Raw genomic sequence first — 21,942 nt, forward strand, 5'->3', positions numbered from 1 at the left:
CTCCATGGAGCTGACATTCCAGAGGGAAAAGAGAAGGATGTCAGTGCTTTCTACAATGGGCACGGGAGGCCTGAAGAGGCCTAAATGAAGTGGGAAGAGCCATGTAAAAATCTGGGGAGAGTTTTCTGACACGTGCAAGGCCCTTGGGGTGAGAAGAATGTGGCATTGGAGGGACTGCTCGGGATCTAGGGACAAGGGTCAGGCGAGCTCGTGGGGAGCAGTGGAGTGAGGCGTGGAGTGAGTTGGGAAGTAGCCAGCTGTGGACTTTATCCCAAGAGTGGTAGGAAACCACTGGTGGCTTTGAGCAGGGGTGGACTTGACCCAACTCCAGTCTGAACTGGGTCCCTCTGGCTGCTGTGATGAGCGGCCCTGGGGGTGCAGAGTGGAGGCATGTTCAGTTCTCTGAGGCCAGGGATGCTGTTTACCTCTGGTCAAGCATCACCAGGCTAAAGACCTGTGAATGAGGACCTCCCTCGAGGCATTGGAGTGAACTCCTTGCCTTTTATCTTTTAGAAGCTAGATGAGGTGTGGTCCTTAACAGAAGGCTCAGCTTGGCTTCTCTATCAGGGCTGAGAGCTCCAGGAGGCAGAGAGACTGTGTTGCACCCATGAGACGGGTGAGGGGCACTCTCATTTGGACCCTCACACTGGCTGAGTGAGATGATACAAGATTTCCATAAATAGCCAGTATCTGGGGACAAGGGTCAAGCTGACATCGTGTCTGTGACCCCAGAGGCCTTTATAGTGAGCTGGTGTGTCACAGGGTTACTTGCATTTCAGTGCTGGGGGTAACCCATGCAGAGCAGATGATGGTGGTTATTAAGGATCTGAGCTTCTTTCCAATGAAGCCAAATTCTTTGATCATTCTCAATAGGGAGAGGGCTTTCTGGGCCTTCAGGTGGTCGAGAACCCCACAGCAGCCTGCCAGCGTGAAACAAGGGCTCGCTTCCCTCATTCTCAGCCTCTGAGACTATTATGAAAGGTGTTTTGGTTAAAACTGTATTGGAAACAAATATTAAATTGAGGATTAGAAATCTGTTTTGTTAGTTTGAGAACTACTACTAGAGGGATTATGTTTATTGAGTGCTTTCTGTGTTTCAGGCACTGAACTAGAATGGATACTATCATATAATAAATAAAAAGCCAACTTTAAAATTCTGTGGTCACAGTGGACATTTGACATACATCAGCTCTAAGTCTCATGATGATCTATAAGCTGGGTGTCATTATTCCCATTTTACAGCCCAGGAAACCAAGCTGAGATTCAAAAAGCCCATTCTTTCCCCTGTTCAATGGAGTCTTCTTGAATATGTCATCGTCAACTCCCCAAATCTCTTGAGACTCAGTTTACTTATCTAAAAATGAAAAAGTTAGATAAGACAAACTTCCAGGCCCCACCAGCTCTAATAGTCCAAGCATGACCCACCATGGCCTCTCACAGTAACTCAGGGAACGAAGCCCCCATCCACCACCCACACCCTCTTTGTACTTCCTTTCCAGACCTGCACTGGTTAAACATCATAATCATGTGTGTTGGCCGAATGGGAATCACCATTGCAATACAAATGATCTGCCTGGTGAATGCTGAGCTGTACCCCACATTCGTCAGGTGAGTGCATGGAACAGGGGTAGCCAGTGAAATGGCTGTGAACCCACCAGCTCAGTGGGAACCAACATCTCCAAGGTGCTTCCTAAAGATGCAGCCAAGCATTGCTCAGTTTGGACATTGAGTGGCATTGTTAAGAAATCACGTTCAGAGAGATGGGGTTAAGCATCAAGAGAGGGTCAACCCATAATTATAGCAGAGAATGTGAAAGGGGACCCTGTGAGCTGATGGATGGGGTCAAAGTTGTTCTGTACATACAACAAGTACAAGAACAAAAGGTGTAGAGAAGTGGGTACTGGACAGGGACTTGGGAAACCTGTGTTGTAGCCCTGTCCTTGGCACTAATTGATTGTATAAACATCAGCCATTTCATTGACACTTCTGGGCATCATTTTCTTAAACAGCTGACATTTGTATAGTGATACGCGAGTATTTCCATACATGTGATTCCCTTAAATTTGTTCTTGGGTATGATCATCCCCATATTACATATGAGGAAGCTGTGATTTAGAAAGGGAAAGAAGCGTTGTAGGGGTCAGACAGCTAGAAAGAAGCAGGGCTGGGGCAAGGACCACATCTTCCTGACCTGGAACCCTGTGGTTTTTCCATTATGGCACATTACTGTTCTGTAAACTGAGGAACTTTTCAAAATTGTGGTAAAATATACATAATATGAAATTTACTATCTTAGCCACTTTTAAGTGTACAGTTGAGTAGTGTTAAGTACCTTCACACAACCAAGCTCCAGAACTCTTCATCTTGCAAAACGGAAACTCTGTACTCATTAAACAGTAACTCCCCATACTCTCCACCCTCCAGCTCCTGACAACCGCCTGTCTACTTTCTGTTTCTATGAGTTTGGTTACTTTAGGTACCTCATATAAGTGGAATCATATAGTATTTGTCTTTGTATGACTGGCTTAGATCACTTAGTGTGATGGCCTCAAGGTTCATGTATGTTGTAGCATGTGCCAAAATTGTCTTCTTTTTAAAGGCTGAGTAATATTCCATTGTACATATATACCACATTTTGTTTATCCATTCATCTGTCAATGGACACTTGGGATGCTCCACTTCTTGGCTATTGTGAATAATACTGCTATGGACATGAATGTACAAATATCTCTTCAAGATATCTTTCAATTCTTTGGGGTGGAATATCCAAAAGTGGAATTACTGGATCATAATCTAATTCTATTATTAGTTTTTTGAAGGAACGGCTGTATTTTTTTTCCATAACGGCTACACTATTTTACATTCCCACCAACAGTTCACAAAGGTTCCAATTCCTCCACATCCTTGCCAACACTTGTTAATTTCTGTTGGTCTTTTTGATAGTAGCCATCCTAATGGGTTTGAAGTGTTATCTCATTGTGGTTTTGATTTCTCTGATGATTAATTATGTTGATCATCTTTTCATGTGCTTGTTGGCTATTTGTGTATTTTCTTTGGAGAAATGTCTACTCAAGTCCTTTCCCCATTTTTGAACTGGTTTTGTTGTTCTTGAGTTGTAGCAATGGTTTATATAATCTGGAGATTAACTCTTTATCAGGTACAAAATCTGCAAATATTTCAGCCCATTCCATAGGTTACCTTTTCATTCTGTTGATTGTGACCTTTGATGCACAGAAGTTTTTGATTGTGATGTAGTCTAATTTATCTCTTTTTACTTTTGTTGCCTTTTCTTTTGGTGCTGAAGAACTTTTTTTTTTTTAATCAAGTTTATTGAGGTACAATTGACAGAGTAAAATTCACTGCTTCTAACATGCAGTTAGATTAGTTTGACGACACACACACACACATACACTCACACACACGTATATATAGTCATTTAGCCACTGCCATGATGAAAATAGAGAATATTTCCATCACCCCCAAAAGGTTCTTCATGTCTCTTTGCAGTTAATACCCTTTTCTTCTCACCTCCAGACCATGCAGTTTTAGCTTTTCCAGAATGAGCTGTAAATGTAATAATAGGGCACGTCACCTTTTGTGTTTGGCTTCCTTCACTTAGCATGATGAAACTCACCCACTTGTTGGATGTATCAGTGTTTTGCTTGTTGTTGCTGTATAGTACTCCAGCATGTGAATGTCAGTGTGCCACAATTCATACACTGTTTAGCTATTCACCACTTGAGGGACATTTGAACGGCTTCCTTCAGAGGGATTCTGATGCAGATGCTATAGACATTTGGGTACAGGCCTTTGAGTGGATACATGTTTTCATTTACGTTGGGTTAAAAACTCAGGAGTGGGATTGTTAGGTCATATGGTAAGTGTGTGTTTAATTCTATGAGAAACTGTCAGACTGTCAGACCGTTTTCCGAAGTGGCTGTGCCATCTTGCGTTCCCACCAGCCATGTTTGAGGAATCCTGTCGTTCCACATTCTCATCAGTGTTTGGTGTTGTCAGCTTTTTTTTTTTTTGAGATGGAGTTTCACTCTTGTTGCCCAGGCTGGAGTGCAGTGGCGTGATCTCGGCTCACTGCAACCTCTGCCTCCCAGGTTCAAACGATTCTCTTGACTCAGCCTTTTGAGTAGCTGGGACTACAGGCGTGCACCACTGCGCCTGGCTAATTTTTTGTACTTTTAGTAGAGACAGGGTTTCACCATGTTGGCCAGGCTGGTCTTGAACTCCTGACCTCAGATGATCTGCCCTCCTTGGCCTCCCAAAATGTTGGGATTACAGGTGTGAGCCACCACACCTGGTCTGGTGTCAGCTTTCTAAAAGTCATTTTGGTAGGTAATGGTATTATTGTGACTTGACTTTTCCTAATTACTGATAATGTTGAGTATCTTTGTCTGTACTTAATTGCCTTCTGTATCTTGGAAGACTTAGTTTTAAATGAAGATTATTTTAATTGTAAAAGTAAACACTTTACTTAAAGTTCTAAGAAATTCTAGTTTGTTAGAAATTCCGTATGTTACTTAAACTCTTTTTCCTCTGTATACATTGTTTCTTCTCCTTATGTCATCATACCAGTAGTTTCTAGGAAATACCCCAGCTCCCTAATCTCATCTTATACATGCGCAGTGCTCTGAGCCCTTCAGTAAAGCCAGAAGGCACCAGGATGGCCTTGATTCACTCTTTCCTGACTAATCCTTTATTAACAGGCCATGTCTGAGACTCTCATTGGTAAAAAGTTACTGGGACTGAGTACAGGAGATGAAGGCATATTAAAAAGAAAACCTTCTATATTTGGCAGTTCTGAGCCCAGAGTCTAAAATAGCCAGGCCAAACAATTCCATTGTCATGGCCACTGGGCCAAGGGGACTGACTCAAAATGTAAACTGTGAAAGGTACTGAGTGTGTAGTTCTCTAGGGAGAAAGGCCAAGCAACCCATCCCCGAGGAGCCCTCGACCACTGCTCAGAGAGCTGGTGGGAGAATCATTCTCATTCACTAGGGAGGGAAGCTAGATGTTCAGAAAAAACTCTCAACTTCTTATGTACACACGCGCACACACACAAGGTAAGGCAGTCATTCAAGTTCCAATATTTCTAATCAATTGAATCAAATTTAATTTGCAGAGAAGGAATAATTTCTGTGACTTTATTACTTTATAAGCACTCCAAGTTTAGACAGTCTCTATGTAAACCATTCTGACCCTGCCTCCGTTCCAGGCAGTTTCAGAGTTGGACTGCTCTGCTCCTCTTCACTTTGTGCAGCACGTGTTGTAAGAACATTCATTTGGCATTAATACCCACTGCCTTGTTTTGAAAATGATCTTTCCATTTTTATCTCCTCACCTTCTCATGAGCTCCTTGAAAACAGAAACCACATGTCATGTCATACTTCTCTGTACCTCACAGAACTCTTCCACAGCCAGACTCACTACATGCTGTAGAATGACTCAATGAATGAAGTACCGCAAACATCTGAATTTTAAATAAGGGGCCTAGTTCCCTACTTCTTCTAGCTTCTGTGTGCTTGCCATTTTTTTCCTTTTAACAATAATTTTTTAAAAATAGTAAAAAATAACTGTGTCTTTTCTTGCACCTCTTGGAAATCACACAAAAGCTATTAGAAGAATGAGGGATAATGCAAATGTGTTTGAAACTGTGATAACATGAAAAGACAATCTACAAGAGGAAGGGCTGCCTAGTGTGTGAGGTCTAAGGGAGTCCGAGAAGATTCCAGGAAAGGACCCCTGTGACAGCAAATCGTAGGCGAGGCCAGCAGCTTTCCAAAGTAGACAGCGTGACTTGAAGGGTGTGATCCATGGTCCCTTGTTTGGAGAAACAGAATGATGGGTGCATGGGCTGGAGGTGGAAGCTCCCTTCCCTGGATGTTGTATGGCTGAAGGTGAAGCAGGGAGGGCAAGGCTGTAAAAGAAGATATGCAGGAACTTTCAGACAGCAGTTACTGAGAGGCGGGTGGAAGAGACTAGCTCCACACCATCAGCCCCTGTAGATCAGGAATAAGTGAGCCAAAAAAATCTAATCATATACAACCCTGATCAAAGAAAGAATTTCTACTAGCCCAGAACATGGCCTGGCTGCTTCCCCACAAACCCTTCTAGAAATGGCTGATAGAGGAAGAAATAACAGTATGAAAAGATGAGTAATAAACAAAAAAGTAATTCATTCAGGAGGTACACAAACATATCATGAGATAAAGGGGGAAAGGAGCAGAAAAAGCAAAAGGCAAATGAAGAACATGTACCAGAAAAATGCTGTAACAACATAGATCAAAGTTCTAACTACATATACTACCAAAATGTAAAGTATTAATAAATCAGTCATCTCTATAAAAATAAGACTTTAAAGCAGAGGTATAGTTCTAGAGAGAATATCTGGCAAGACAATAGAAGACACTGAAGCTGTCTTAAGAAAGAAACGAAAAAGAAAAATTAAGAAGTGGAGAAATTCTTGCATTTGAGAAATGAAAAACCAATTTGAACACAATGCAAAGGAGAATAGATTCAGTGAGGGAAAGGCAAGACAGGACTAAGAGTTGCAAAGTAAAATGGAAATAAGAAATAAGCAGAGTTTAATCCAGGCATGGTGGCTAACGCCTGTAATCCCTCACTTTGGGAGGCTGAGGTGGGCAGATCACTTGAAGCCAGGAGTTCGAGACCAGCCTGGCCAACATGGTGAAACCCTGTCTCTACTAAAATTACAAAAATTAACTGGGCATGGTAGTGCATGCCTATAGTCCAAGCTACTCAGCAGGGTGAGGCAGGAGAATCACTTGAACCCAGGAGGTGGAGGTTGCAGTGAGACAAGATCGAGCCACTGCACTCCAGCCCGGGCAGGGAGACTTTGTCTCAAAAAAGAAGAAGAAAAAAAAAAAAAAAGAAATAAGAAATAAGTAGAGTTTCAAAGGTTCTATGCATGTATGTATGTATATAGTCCGTAAACTTTTTGGTTAAAAAAAAAAAAGATATATATATATACACCCCCTGCCCACACACATACGCAATAAATATACTTCGGGAATACATCTGAAAATAAAAGAATGCTTGAATCTATAAATTAAAGGGACACATGTAACAGAAAAAACTGACCCAGTGAACAATTATTAGGACATATTTTTATTTGGTTACTATACTTTAAAGATAGAGAAAGAGTCACCAAGTAGCCAGGCTGAAAGTTTGTCACCTATATAAGAAGAACAAATTGTTATCATTTGATGAAGACAGTCAATGCCTGCAGTGACCTCAAGAAAATAAAGTGCAATCCAGTGATTTTTATTATTGTTTTTTTGAGACAGGCTGGAGTGCAGTGGCATGATCTCGGCTCACTGCAACCCCTGCCTCCCCACTTCAAGTGATTCTCCTGCCTCAGCCTCCTGAGTAGCTGGGATTACAGGCGTCCACCACCACGCCCAGCTAATTTTGGTATTTTTAGGAGAGATGGGGTTGGTCAAGCTGTTCTCGAACTCCTGACCTTAGAAGATCTGCCTGCCTCTGACTCCCAAAGTGCTAGGATTACAGATGTTAGCCATCACGCGCGAATCCAGTGAATTTTATCCAACCAAGCTCTCATTTCTATATAGAAGCAATAGCCAATCATTTAAAAATATCTCAAATAATATGGTTCCTATGATCCTTTCCCAAAAAAGTTGTTAGAAACAAAATTCAGTAAGTACAGTGACGAATGAAGTAATGTGTCAGAATTATTGGTAGTGATCATTGAAATTGATATTAAAACGAGTGTGTTTTTGGCTACAAAACAATATAATATCACAAATCTGAAAATAAAGAAATGTTATAACTCACAAAGACTGAAAAGAGAAAAGAGAAAGAATGTTGGAGATGGTGTAATACACTGATTTCTTCAATACACTTGTTTTTTGGAAAAGTGTATCCTTAAAAACTGACAAGTATAATTAGTTCAGCAGCAATATATTTTTAAAAACTGATAAGTAGTATCCTAGGCATATGTTAAGATATAAAAGAAAACACTAAAAGTAATGATAGAATCAACTAAATCAGGTCATGGAGGGATGGTTTGAGGGGGAAGTAGAAATATACTAATTTTATGATTGTTCATAATAGGAAGTTAATCAATACTGTCTAAAGAAATAGGATATTAATTATATAAGGTTATACAGTAATCATTTGACTAAAAATACAGCCCTTCCAAATGATCAGGAAAAATACAGATAACCAACACATACTGAAAATAAAAGACACCAGAAGCAATAAAAAGCCCTGGTGTGAATAGGTGATAGAATATGAATAGATGACAGCATTGATATGACAGAACTGACATGGTAGAATTAAGACGAAACATTTCCGACATTTAAATAAATGAAAAGAGGCTTAACTCCTTTATTGGAAAAAATGAGATGACTCCCTAGCTTGATTACAAAGTAAAATCCAACAATATGCTGCTATATGAAGTATAACTTTTCCTGAGAAAAGCTAAAAAAGAAAGAATGCACAAAAGCATACTAGGGAAATATATAGCAAGTGTCATAATCTAATTAAAGTTGAATTTATGGGAAAAGGTGCTAAATAAGATAAGGAGGGCCCTAAATAATGATAAAGAAGGAATCCACAATGGTTTTAAAGGGGGATTTTTAAAAACATTTAACAAATAGAAAATTCCAATAATATTTAAATTGCTCTAAAGCATAGAAAAAGAAGAAAATTTTCCAACTTTAAAAAATAAAATTAGCGTAATATTGGTACCAAAGAACAACAAAGATAAAGGAAACAAGGAAACTACAGACATATATTTATGAATATGGATCTAGAAATCCTAAACAATATATTATCAAACAGTGGAGAACATTAAAATAATTACTATTCTATGTCTTAGATGAATTATTCCAGGAGTGCAAAGATGGCTGAGTTTTAGAAAACCTCACAGTATAAATCATGTTTATTAGTCAAAAGAGAAAAATTATATTATTATCTCCATTGATACTGAAAGGCATTCAATAAAATTTCCACCTCTACGTTTGTTTTAAAAATTTCTAAGAGATGATATAAGCATTTTTATCATCAGGATATAGGTCATGGGGGGAGGGATTGGGAAAGAAATATAAATATATGAATTTTGTAATTAGTCATAGTAGGGAGTAAGAAATTATGCAAATAATTGCAATAGAAGAAGCTTAAAAGTAATACCCGAAAGGATAGAACTTTTCCTGATTTATTATTCCTATTTTAATCATGTTTTCAAAACAAAGCTCAAGATTGTTTCTAGGAATACAAAATCGAGCATGGAACAAAGTGAAATTTACAATTTCTGACATCCAATAAAAAATTACCAGGCATACAAAGAAGTAGGAAAAGATAACCTATCTTGAGGAGAAAAATAAATCAATTCAAACTGACCTAGAAATGGCACAGATGGTAGAATTAGTGGACATGAACATTAGAACAGTTATGATACCTATATTCTCTATGTTTAAGGTCCTAGAGTAAAGATTGAGCATGTTAAGTAGATGCAAGGAAAAAAAATTTAAGTCCCAAATTAAACTTCTAGAGATAAAAACACAATGTCTGAGATGAAAAATACACCACATGAGTTAACAGCAGATTAAACATTATGGAAGAAAATATTAGTGAACTTGAAGATAGCAATTGAAACTATCAAAAAGGAAAGACAGAGAGAATCAGTGAGCTGTGATACAATTCAATGAATGTAATTGGAGTCTGTAGAAGTGAGTAGGAGGGGTTAATAGAGAGAGAAATAATGCTCAAAATTTCTTCAAATTTGATGAAAACTTCCAATACATAGATCTAACAATCTCAATAAATACTAACCACAAAAAAACATCAAGAAAGGCACATCATAAAAATCTTAAAAAGACCAGCCTGGGCAACATGGTGAAACCTTCTTTCTACAAAATATACAAAAATTAGCTGGGTGTGGTGGTGCATGCATGTAGTCTCAGCTACTATAGAGGCTGAGGTAGGAGGCTTGCTTGAGCCCAGGAGGTGGAGGTTGCAATGAGCCAAGGTCACGCCACTGCACTCCATCCTGGGCAACAGGGCAAGACCCTGTCTCAAAACAAAAACAAAAACAAAACAAAAACCTTAAAAAGGAATCAGAGAAAAAAGATATCACAAATAGGAACAAAGATAAGAATGACAGAAAATTTCTCATTGGAAATGATACAAACAAGAAGGTGGTAGAACATCTTTAAAGTACTGAAAGAAAGAAAAATAAACTGCCAATCTAAAATTCTTGACCCAGCAAAAATACTTTCAAAAATGAATGGAAAATAAAGACTTTTTCAAACTTACAAAGTCTGAAAGAATTAATCACCAGCAGACTTATACTACAGGAAATATTAGTCTTGAAGATCTTTCAGAAAAAATGAAAACAGTATCAGATGGAAATCTATATCTACACAAAAAAATGAAGAGCACTGAAAATGATAACTACGTGAGTAAATGGAAATTTTTTTTTTCTGGTTATTTTCTTTAAAAGACAATGAACTGTTTAAAGCAGGCATTGGCAAACTTTTCCAGTACAGAGCTGGATAGCTAATGTTTTAGGCTTTGTGGATCACATACAGTCTCTGTTGCATATTATTCTTTCTTTCTTTCTTTCTTTCTTTCTTTCTTTCTTTCTTTCTTTCTTTCTTTCTTTCTTTCTTTCTTTTTTTGAAATGGAGTCTCGCTCTGTCACCCAGGCGGGAGTGCAGTGGTGCGATCTTGGCTTACTGCAAGCTCTACCTCCCAGGTTCACACCATTCTCCTGCCTCAGCCTCCCAAGTAGCTGGGACTACAGGCACCTGCCACCACGCCTGGCTAATTTTATTTATTTATTTATTTTGTATATTTTTAGTAGAGAAAGGGTTTCACCATGTTAGCCAGGATGGTCTTGATCTCCTGACCTCGTGATCCACCCTCCTTGGCCTCCCAAAGTGCTGGGATTACAGCCGTGAGTCACCGCGCCTGGCCTAAAAAACCTTTTAATCATGTAAAAACCATTTCTAACTCAAAGCTAAAAATGCTGTCTTTGGCCTGTGGGCTGTAGTTTGCCAATCAAAACAATAATCACAATGTGTTGTGCAAAGGCTGGGAGGGAAGAAACACAAGTATACTATTGTAAGGTTCACATATAATCTATGAATGTTACAATATTACTTGAAGTTACTGTGATCAAAGAGTTAGGTTTTCTGTAAACCTAAATCAAAAATTAAAAAACAAAATAATTATAGCTATTAAGTCAACACAGAAGATAATGTGAAATCATTTAAAATAATTTATAAGAAGGCAGAAAAAGAAATAAAGGGTTACAGAGGACAAACAGAACAAAAAGAAAACAAATAGCAAGATGATAGATTTAAACTCAATCATATCAGTAATCACAAGAAATATAAATGGTCTAGACACTCCAGTTAAAAGGAAGAGATTATCAGATTGGACAAAAAAGTGAAACACAACCCCATGCTGTCTACAAGAAACTGACTTTAAATATAAGGGGAGAAAGATAGTTTAAAACGAAAGGATGGAGAAGGATATTTTATGCTAATACTAATCAAAAGAAAGCTGGAGAGGCTATAGTAATATCAGATAGTGTAGATTTCAGAGCAAAGAACATTACCAGAGATGAAGAGGGTCATTTCAAGTAGATAGTTTCTCTACATGTTTCCCCACTAACTTTCTTTCTTCGATTCCTCAATACCTTCTATCTACCCTTCCCTATGTTTCCATGCATCAGGGGTTCTCTAGTGGAGACTCTTTTCCTCCCATCTCTTAACATCTGCTCTGAGCATCCCCAGCAACTCATCAGGTGGAAAAAGCTACTAGTCACAGTTTAAATCTCATTCTCCCAAGAAAATGCTCATCTTAGCACAGACCAAAGCTTGCAGTCACAGGAAAGGAGCTCTAAGTTAGAATTTCAATGATTAGTCTTCTCTTTCTCAACAACTACAAATTCAGCACCAGATTATCCTCATCAGCACTGCAGATCCCCCATGGTGCTAGTGCTAGAAGCTGGAATCCATGTTTTTCTTGGGAAAATCTACTTAAGGCCTGTTGCCCTGTGCTGCAAATCTCTGGGTCACATGCATAAGGAACCACATTCATTGACCCTTAACCAATGAACGCCAGTGGCAGATCCCTCATTCTGATTAGGTCTCCTTTCTTCCCCATGTGCCTCCTCTAAGGGTCACTTGTTGGCTATTGAGGTGATGGGTTGGTTAGTCAGTCCCTGGTGCACATCAGTCAGGATTTCCTTCCTGGCTTGACCCTGCTCCCAGGGTCTTAGGGCTGGGAAGGGCCCAAATCCCACTAAACTCAGTCACTCCCAGACATTGTGCTTTCCCACAGGTGATGACAGGTCATGGACCTAGAACAGGAGTGAGGTAAAATTGAAGTTTAGAGCAGGGAGCATGTGTTCTTTTTATCTTTGTAAGGCTTGTAGCAATTCTTCAGGTATTATACACCTAAGAGCTAAATATTTGAATGTGTAGTTAAAAAGAGGTAGGCTCTCTGCCATTGCATGGGCAACGGATGGCTCATACCCACTTTCACTCTAGCCTGTTACCTCCTCTCAATACCCTCTGGGCTGGTCCTCATGGTTCCTCCTGACCCCTGCAGTTTTCTTCTGAGGTGCTGAGCACTGGACAGCCACAGCAAGCTGCAGGTATTGGCATTGTACTTGTTTTAGCATCAGGTGAACATTTGGAAAAGTGAATCACAGAATTATCGTATTTTTTGTCCTTTGTATTTTATCAGGAACCTCGGAGTGATGGTGTGTTCCTCCCTGTGTGACATAGGTGGGATAATCACCCCCTTCATAGTCTTCAGGCTGAGGGAGGTCTGGCAAGCCTTGCCCCTCATTTTGTTTGGTAAGATTTTGTGGAGCATATATCATTCCTTCTTTTGCAGCTCGGCAGTGGGCTCAGCATGGGTGGAACTGAGTGTGAGTACTCAGTCGTATTTGTTGAGTGAAGGGAATGATATCTCTCAGTGAGTTTACAGAAGGCAAGGATGATGCATGCTCTTGGGATGTCTTCTGGCTTATTCTGTCTTGCTTCATGGGAAAGATAAGAATCCATTCCTAGGATATGGGTCAGGGATTTCCATCCTCTGGCTCTGGACTCCAATCATTCATACTATAGGACAGAATCTGAGAGACCTTTTGACAGTCTCCTGATAAATCTGATCACCAATTCTTACACATTTAACACACAATTGCTAGAGTCTTGAAGATGCTGAATTATCACCTGTCTTCTGTATCTAGATCTTAACAATTGAGAACACTCACAAGGAGATGAGTGGGAATCAAAGTTCCGTATCAGCTTTCTTCCTGATACAGTTGGATGAGAGAAGGGAGAGGGGATTCCTACTTATCTCTCCAAACCTAGGCCAGAGAACTTCCAAGACCCTGCTTACCCACTTGATAGAAGACAACAGTTGCTGGTTGTTTGCAGAGCCAGCCATGCCTGGGCACAGGTGAATACAAAAAGAGGGGTGGAGGAAGAGATAGGGAAAGGGAGAAAGGAAGAAGGAGGGAGAAAGGGAAGTAGAAGGCAAAGGGAAAAAGGAGGGAGAAAAGAGTGATGGGAGGGGTCCACCCTGCCCACATATAGACTGTGCTCTATAGCTAATTCTATGTGTATATGTACCCCAACAACAAATCCCCAAATACTTAAACATCAGTTACTATGGAACTTTACACTTCTATAGAAGTAAAATGAAGGCAATGTTTCCTTTACGTACTCTGACATTTCCCCAGTTATCCTATTGTTTTAATTTTCTTTTATAAATGTTCCTAACTTTTTTTCTTTTTAAAAAATAGTATCTCTCCCATCTGTGTTGTCTCTTCCTCTCTTTGGCTGGCTGTGATTATTTCTGTAAATGACATTGGCTGTGCTCTAATGGCTCCATTTGCAATCTGTTTCCTTTGAAGCGGTGTTGGGCCTGCTTGCCGCGGGAGTGACGCTACTTCTTCCAGAGACCAAGGGGGTCGCTTTGCCAGAGACCATGAAGGACGCCGAGAACCTTGGGAGGTGAAGCCCATGGTGCCCAGGACTCCGAGGCCCATGAGTCTGACACGCCCTCCAAAAGGGGCCTAATATCACTCCACATTCTCCATTTCCTCTATCTTAAAAGTTTAGGAGAGCTTTACAGATATTTGTATGTCTTTTTATTACTCCCAGAACTGCTATGAGGAAAAAAACCCATGATAGCTACTGACTTTATGTAAGAAAATAATGAAGAGCATGACTTGACAGCTATCTGTTCTCAAGTGCATGGCAGAGAATGATTTGTCTGTAATGTTGGCTGTGGTGCACCAAGATCCCTAGCTCACCCCAAGAGTTAATGACTCTGAGTGGGGAACATTTTAAAATCAATCTTCTGTCCTCTGAGCAATTGTTGTCTCAGATTCTTTAGTAACTTTGTTCACAAAATTCTTTTGACAGAGAGCAAGGTTTGCTGGAGTTTCATATTCTAGTCTTAGAGCAATAAAAAAGGAAAGGAAGGAACAGTGCTTGATGAGGTGATCTCTCTCAAGATCCTTTACAGGCTCAGTTCTGTGGATTCCACAGCAAGGATGCATGTGTCCTCGTGAATAGAGAGAGAAAAGTCTATGCAGTCCTACAGACTTACGATTGAACCTAGGTCACCTGACTCAGTAGGCCATGTGACTTTGGGAATGTCATTGAACCCTATGGAGCTTTATTTTTCATTTAATTTCCATGCCTGCAAAATAGTCACAATAATACTTAATTTACAGAGTTTCTATAAAGATCTAATCAGATTAAGTAGGTGACAGTGACTAATCCATTGCCTGGCACATAGCAGGTGTTCAATAGAGCTCAGATTTTCTCCATTCTTCTTGCAAATCGTGCTATGTCCCCAGTGATCCTCCAAACTAAGTGTGCAGAAGAAGCACAAAAGGAACATGCTAAAATGCTAAATTCCTTGGCCTTCTTGGTTTTTGGTTTAGAATGTGAATGATGCAACTCAGGAATCTGTTTTAATAATCTCTGCCAACAATGCACATGCAGATAGGCACTCTGTACACTTCACTTGGGGAAATTCTAGATTTCTCAGTACTGATAAGGGCAAAACACTATTTTAACAGTAAATGCATTTTCTAGTTGCTGATGATTTCCTTCTTTTTGATCCCAAGTGTTGTGTTATCTGATTTAAAGATATTTCATTCTAGTGTGTTAACAGCCACTTGGTTGTCTTTTTTTTCTTTTTTTTGACTTGGAGTTTCCCTCTTGTTGCCCTGGCTGGAGTGCAATGGCACTACCTTGGCTCACCACAACCTCCGCCTCCCAGGTTCAAGCGATTCTCCTGCCTCAGCCTCCTGAGTAGCTGGGATTACAGGCATGTGCCACCATGCCTGGCTAATTTATTATTTTTAGTACAGACAGGTTTTCTCCATGTTGGTCAGGCTGGTCTCGAACTCCTGACTTCAGGTGATCCGCCCATCTCAGCCTCCCAAAGTGTTGGGATTACAGGCGTGAGCCACCGTGCCTGGCCTGGTAGTCTTTTAAGATGTTCTGTTTAATCCCTTCACTCTCTCATCCTAATCATTCCCGCCCTGCCAGGGGAGGCAGGTGCTGCTGCCCAGAGCCCTGAACCCCCTGTGCATCCTTGGTTCTTGACAGTACTCTTCACACGTTATAATAATTGTTTATTTCATTGTCTGTCTTCTCTGCTATACCAATTCCATAAATAGTAGCCACAGTCTATGGCCAGAGTGATCATGTTGATTACTCCTTCTTCCCCACTTGCAAGGGGAGAATGTCAGGAATGGAAGTGACTGTAACTCTAGCTAAGCTTCACTGTGTGTGTGTCAGCCTCCCTGAAAGCTCATGTGCATTTCACCGAATCCTCCCAAAACATTGGGAGGCAGCTTCTATGGTTATCAGACCCATTCCACAGATGAAGGAGATAATGACATGTATCCCCAAAGTCACCGGATTCAAAATGAGTTAGCCAGGAACATGATCAACCTTCTACTTCAGGGCTTGTCTCTTTCTGGAAAGGGCCAGATAGTAAATATTTCAGGCTTTGGGGCCCTGTGGTCTCTCTTGCTACTACCCAGTTCTGCCCCTGCATTGGAAAAGCAGCTATAGACAATGCATGAAGGAATGGTTGTGTCTGGATACCAGTAAAATGCTATTTATGGATGTTGAAATTTGAATTTCATGTAATTTTTTAAGTATCTTGAAATATTTTCATTTTTTCCAACTATATAAAATGTAAAAACCATTTGTAGCTCACTAGTTGTACAAAAACAGGCTATAAGCTCGAATGGGGCCACAGGCTGTAGTTTGCTATGCCCTTTTCTTCTTTGCTGTTTGCCATCCTTACTTTCTCTTTGTCTTGACACTTATTCATTTCTGTGTACAACTTTGCAACAGTTCCATCATCAACAAACTGATTGCTTATTTATTTATTTTAACTCCAACTTTTAATTTTGTTGTTACAGAAAAGCAAAGCCCAAAGAAAACACGATTTACCTTAAGGTCCAAACCTCAGAACCCTCGGGCACCTGAGAGAGATGTTTTGCGGCGATGTCGTGTTGGAGGGATGAAGATGGAGTTATCCTCTGCAGAAATTCCTAGACGCCTTCACTTCTCTGTATTCTTCCTCATACTTGCCTACCCCCAAATTAATATCAGTCCTAAAGAATGGTTTGTGTGGGCTTTGTCTTATTTTGTTTTCTTTCTTTTAAGTTCTCCAAAGCCCTGGCTATCTTCCACCTGTGCATTCGATCTAGGGAAAGCTGTTGGTGCTATTGGTATCGGGTACTTAATTATCTAAAGGCGTTTGAAGATCAGTAGAATTTAAATATTGCTATAAAAGAGGGCTGTGTAATTGGATTCCTAGAATAAGTATTCTAGAAAGAATTTTCTAGAAAGAAAATTGGTTTGATTCACTCTCTGAAACAAAATGCCTTTGCATTTGTATGTATCTATATTGGTGAAAACCTTTCAACATGTAGATTGCTTGGAGAGTACAATCAGCCTTCCATATCTGTGGGTTCCACATCTGTGGATTCAAGCCACTGCAGACTGAAAATATTTGGGTAGCTGGGGTTGGTGGCTCACGCCTGTGATCCCAACACTTTGGGAGGCTGAGGCAGGAGGATTGCTTGAGCCCAGGAGTTTTCGACCAGCGTGGGCAACAGTGAGAGCCTGTGTCTACAAAAAAGGGAAAAAGTTAGCTGGATGTGGTGGCCCACACCTGCAGTCCCAGCTATTAGGGAGGCAGAGGTGGGAGGCTTACTTGAGCCCAGAAATTCAAGGCTGCAGTGAGCCATGATTATGCCATTGCACACCAGCCTGGGTGACAGAACAGGACCCTTTCTCAAAAAAAAAAAAAAAAAAAAAAAAAATTGTGCAGCAAAGATGATTGCATCTGCATTGAATGTATACATACTTATTTTTTGTCATTATTCCGTGAACAATACAGTATAACAACTACTTACATAGCATTTACATTATATTAGGTATTATAGTTAATCTAGAGATGATTTAAAGCATAAGGGAGGATGTATGTAGGTTATATGCAAAAATGACATCATTTTATATCAGGGACTTGAACATTCTCAGATTTTGGTGTCCATGGGGGTCCTGGAACCAATCCTCACAGATATCAAGGGGCAACTGTACTGGTTTTTAGTATGGAAACTCTGCCCACAAACCATGTCCTTGTGACATTTACGTACACATGATAGAATAAAACATGCTCCTCATTCAAACACCAGAAGCACCATGGCCATTTTAGGGAAGATGTCTCTGCCCCCTTGTTCCAGGAATATTTTATTCTATCTCACTCTTGGTTTTGGTTCTCCTTGGTGATTCTAGAAGGTGAATGCCTGTGCCAACCATGAGATATCACAGTAAATATATCAAAGAGAGTTCACTTCAGGATGAGTTATGTGCTTCCTGAACCCTACACCATGCATGATTTTGTTCCTGGAGGACACAAAAAACTTTATTTTAAAATTTCTTTACCTGTCAGGCAAATCACAAAGATAACAATAGCCAGTCTTCAGAGTATATCAGGAAAAAGCTTCTAATGGGAATTGGAGGCATGGTGAAATACACGTGGTTGTATTATAGACACTTCTGGCCTGATCTAGCTGAGGTCAGTGATGGCCACAAGGACTTGAGATCACGGAAGTGGGTGACGAGCAGCACTTTGGTTGTCCTTTGAGAACAGACATTGCTACTTGAAAACTCAAATCTTTGTCCTTGGGAAAAAAACCAAAAAAACAAAAAACAAAGAACTCTCAATGGTGGAGTGAACATAGCCCTTCATTTCAGTGTTGGAAGCAAAGCCCTTGCCCTGTATCTTATACTTTCTGATGATAATGATCACACTGTTTACTGGTCACAAATAGTAAATTGTAGGCTTTGAATGATGTTTTTCAAATGTGTATTAAAAATGTCCTCTCTAATCTTTCTTAGAATCCTCTTGGCAAAACTTCTGAGGAAGGCCTTAAACAAACAAAAAAAAGTCAACATTAAAAACAGCGACACTCCCTGGTCAAACTTCCTTATGGCTCTGTGGACATGTATGAAGAAATTAGCACGTGTGCTGTTCTTGCAGGATAAGGCACAGCTAGTGTGTACTTACAGCACACAGCGGCATTGGTGCGGGTCACAGTAAGGTTTGTCTGACCAGTCAGGAAGTGAATCTGGGAGAGTGGCAGGACCCCCGCAGGCATGTCTGCTCATGCTCTCCCAAGGGAGGGAGGGAGCGTAATTCCAGGGAGGGTTTAAACATGGAGCCATGGAAACAAAGTGTATTTCATGTTGCCTGATGCATCATGAAGGGGACATTGGGGACCCTTCCCTTCCTGCCTTCCTCACTGTTGCTGTGACAGAGCCAAAGTCTGTCTTGATAAAAATGGGGGGTGGCGAAGGGCGTCTGGCAGTGTGAAGGCAGAAATAAGTGGGTTGGGAGCCAGATGGCATTCAGATGCTTGGAAAGGCTAGTAGCTGTGACCCGGGCATCAGGAAACATACAAAGTTCCTGGTCAGGGCCTTGCTGTGAAATGCCCAGGCCCCTCCTTCAGGGGCAGTGCTGTGGAGTTCCCTGCCATTCCCCAAGCATGTGACAGGAGCCAGGGGATGCCCCAGCCCTCCTCGGCTGGTAAGAGAGCCCAAAGATAGTCACAGCAACAAATCATGCAAGAATTCTCATAGCAGTGGGGCGCACTCAGGTGGTGCTGAGAACATCAGAGCAGCACAACTGACCCTATGCGTAGATGGAGGGGATCTGCAGATCCCTGCAATCACCTCCTCAATCCCGCCCCAACATGTCTTCATGTGGGTCTTGCAATGAAAGAAGTAAAATTTTACCTTGGTCAGCAAGTGATGGGTGTGGGGGGCTGCAGATCAGGAAAGAGCAGGATGGGGTGGTAGCCGGGGGTCTGGCGGTCCAGGGATGGGTGTCTGACGAGAGCAGGAGTGACGGCGATGGGAGGAGGCTGTCACTTTCTGCCTGTTGCTGAGGACGCAGCTTTCTGTCCCGGAAGGAGGGAGGCAGCTTTCTGTCCCGGATGGATACTGGACCCTGGCATGAGCTGGATGTGTTTCCAGGGTCTCCTCCACCCTGGAGCAGGGTCCTTGACCATCTGAGACTCTGTCTGAGACTCCGCCTCCTTACGGCACCTCGCTCCCAGTGGTTGTGAGGATTCCAGGAGCTGCAGGCTTCCCCCAGCAGAGCCCCAGAGTCAGTGCGGGGGCTGCTGCTGCATCAGGTGGCCTCCCAGCCACGTGGTCTCATGATCAGCAGCTTATGGTGGATTCAATGATCTCCAGCTGAGGAAAGAATGACTGTCCCTTGATGCTTACTCCTTATACCTGGTTGCTAAGGGCAATGTGTCCTAATGTCCATCCCACCTGCACCTCTTCCCAGCAGGTGGCAGGTGAATGTCTGATGTTTTGAGACATCAACAGAGCAGGCAAATTAGAGGCCTATTTGACTTAATTTAAGAGGTCTCTTGCAAAAGGTCATTAATGAGACATATTGATAAAGACTCAGTCATCGCCACATTGGGAAGTTAAGGAAGCTAAGTTCAGAGATGTCAAATGACTGACAAGCATGCAACGGGACTTTGAATTTCCATCTTCTGGGTCAGATTACAGGAGGAGCAAGTATAAGCTTGCAAATTAAACAGGAAGGAGGGAGGTTGGAGGGAGCTGTGTCCTCTTTGGGATGAGCTTCCTGGCATTACTGATTGTGCATTTGTCCCTGGCCCCATGCTGCTGAGCAGGACAGAGGGAAAGCCTAAGAGTGCCCTGGGCAGAGTTCGAAGATCCCATCCCAGAGCGGTGACACTCTAGGCATCCTGTGCTCACTTGCTGATTCTGCTCTTCAGCCTGGGCAGTGGCATTTATCCTCTTCCGGGTTCCTGTCTGAGTAGAGCATTTCATCTTTCTATGCCATTTGTAAAAAGGATGTGTACATGGAAACTACATACACATCTACACATTCACATACACAGCTACATTCACACATGGTCTGGTTTATGAGGGTATTGGATTAATTTCAAACCTCTCATTGTAGAGTACATGCTGCTTTCTCTCATCAGTCTCATCATTCAGTTAAAATAAACATGAGAATCTGGTTGTCTGGGAGTTTTGAGGAATGGCAAATTTGTGACTATAAAAATAACAATAGCTCAGATGTATTCAGAACTTGCTGTGTACTAGCTACTGTCCTAAGCACTTTCTTATATTATCTTGTTAAATTCTCATAACACTTCTATTATATTGGGTAATGTTACCTAATTGCAAAGAAAAGGAAACTGAGGCATAAAGAGGCTAAGGGGTTTGCCCAACATTACCAGGTAGTAAGCGAAGAACCTGTAGTCTCGCTCCAAAATCCAAGTTTTGAAGCAGGATACTGCATTTCCAACTGACATCTGGGCAATAGCATCTTTATGCATTACCAAGAAAAACCCCAAAATAAAAAAAAAAAATTCATTCTTTTGTAGAGAAACATTGTTTTTTTTTCCTTTGTGTGAAGTCTTTATTTCAGGTTTGTATTTTTTTTTTTTTTTGAGATGGAGTTTCACTCTTGTCACCCAGGCTGGGGTACAATGGTGTGATCTCTGTTCACTGCAACCTCTACCTCCCAGGTTCAGGCAATTCTCCTGCCTCAGACTCCTGAGTAGCTGGGATTACAGGCACGCCACCATGCCCAGCTAATTTTTGTATTTTTTTAGTAGAGATGGGGTTTTACCATGTTGGCCAGGCTGGTCTGTAACTCCTGACCTCAGGTGATCTGCCCACCTCAGCCTAACAAAGTGCTGGGATTACAGGCATGAGCCACCGTCCCCAGCCTATTTCAAATATTTGTTAAATCACCATTGCTATTCCTCAGGACAAGAGCAAAAAACACCCCCCAGAGCATAGCTAACATGGTCCCAGATTGCAGTTTCTGTTTCTGGAAGGTTCAGGTACAGTGCGGGAGTCCATTTGTCTACTTGGCTACACCACCGGCTGAGGTGTCATGGGGTCAATGTCACTCAAGTTCCTGGCAAACCAAACTCCTGCAAACAGTCCCAGATTGAGGATCAAGTTCCTCTGGAATCACTCCTATCAGTGGCAAAGCGGTGGACACCCCACGACTATCTCCGCCATTGTCAGGAATTTCAGGAGCTTCATTGGCTAAGCCTGCAGCACTCAGGGTGACCCGGCTGGAAGGCAGAGTAGTCGAGAATCATTCTTTTGGAGACAAGACTGAAAAGGCTTCCCTGGCTGGTCTGAGCAGGACGTTCTAAGGGTCGCTGCTCCTTGGTGGTGTGAGAAGCACATTCTCTTTGGAACTGCAGTAACTAAGCACCTAGCTGCAACTAGGGCTATGGTGAGTTTGCCTCGATTATTGTTAAATTGCAGTTTACCTGACACCTCACTTGTGATTTAGTTTAAAAATTTT

The 21,942-nt window shown here is 41.3% G+C and overlaps 1 protein-coding gene and 1 pseudogene across 4 annotated transcripts in view; one reads left to right on the forward strand and one right to left on the reverse strand.

The window, feature by feature from the left end:
* The window catches only part of SLC22A1 (solute carrier family 22 member 1), a 36,904-nt gene extending 20,227 nt beyond the window's left edge, over positions 1-16,677 (forward strand). Inside the window, exons 8-12 of one of the 4 annotated variants that reach the window (XM_005267103.3) lie at positions 1,500-1,608; positions 12,757-12,869; positions 13,389-13,476; positions 13,934-14,033; positions 16,475-16,677. In XM_005267103.3, coding sequence (XP_005267160.1) covers positions 1,500-1,608; positions 12,757-12,869; positions 13,389-13,476; positions 13,934-14,033; positions 16,475-16,510 — 446 coding nt within the window. In that variant the 3' untranslated portion in view covers positions 16,511-16,677. The remainder of the gene's footprint in view (positions 1-1,499; positions 1,609-12,756; positions 12,870-13,388; positions 13,477-13,933; positions 14,034-16,474) is intronic. The other 3 variants (NM_003057.3, NM_153187.2, NM_001437335.1) reach the window with 3 other exon arrangements.
* A 4,817-nt stretch (positions 16,678-21,494) lies between these two features.
* On the reverse strand, positions 21,495-21,711 carry LOC112267977 (mitochondrial import receptor subunit TOM6 homolog; annotated as a pseudogene).
* Between the last annotated feature and the right edge of the window lie 231 nt (positions 21,712-21,942).

This window comes from Homo sapiens, chromosome 6 (assembly GCF_000001405.40).
Source record: "Homo sapiens chromosome 6, GRCh38.p14 Primary Assembly".
Taxonomy (NCBI): domain Eukaryota; kingdom Metazoa; phylum Chordata; class Mammalia; order Primates; family Hominidae; genus Homo; species Homo sapiens.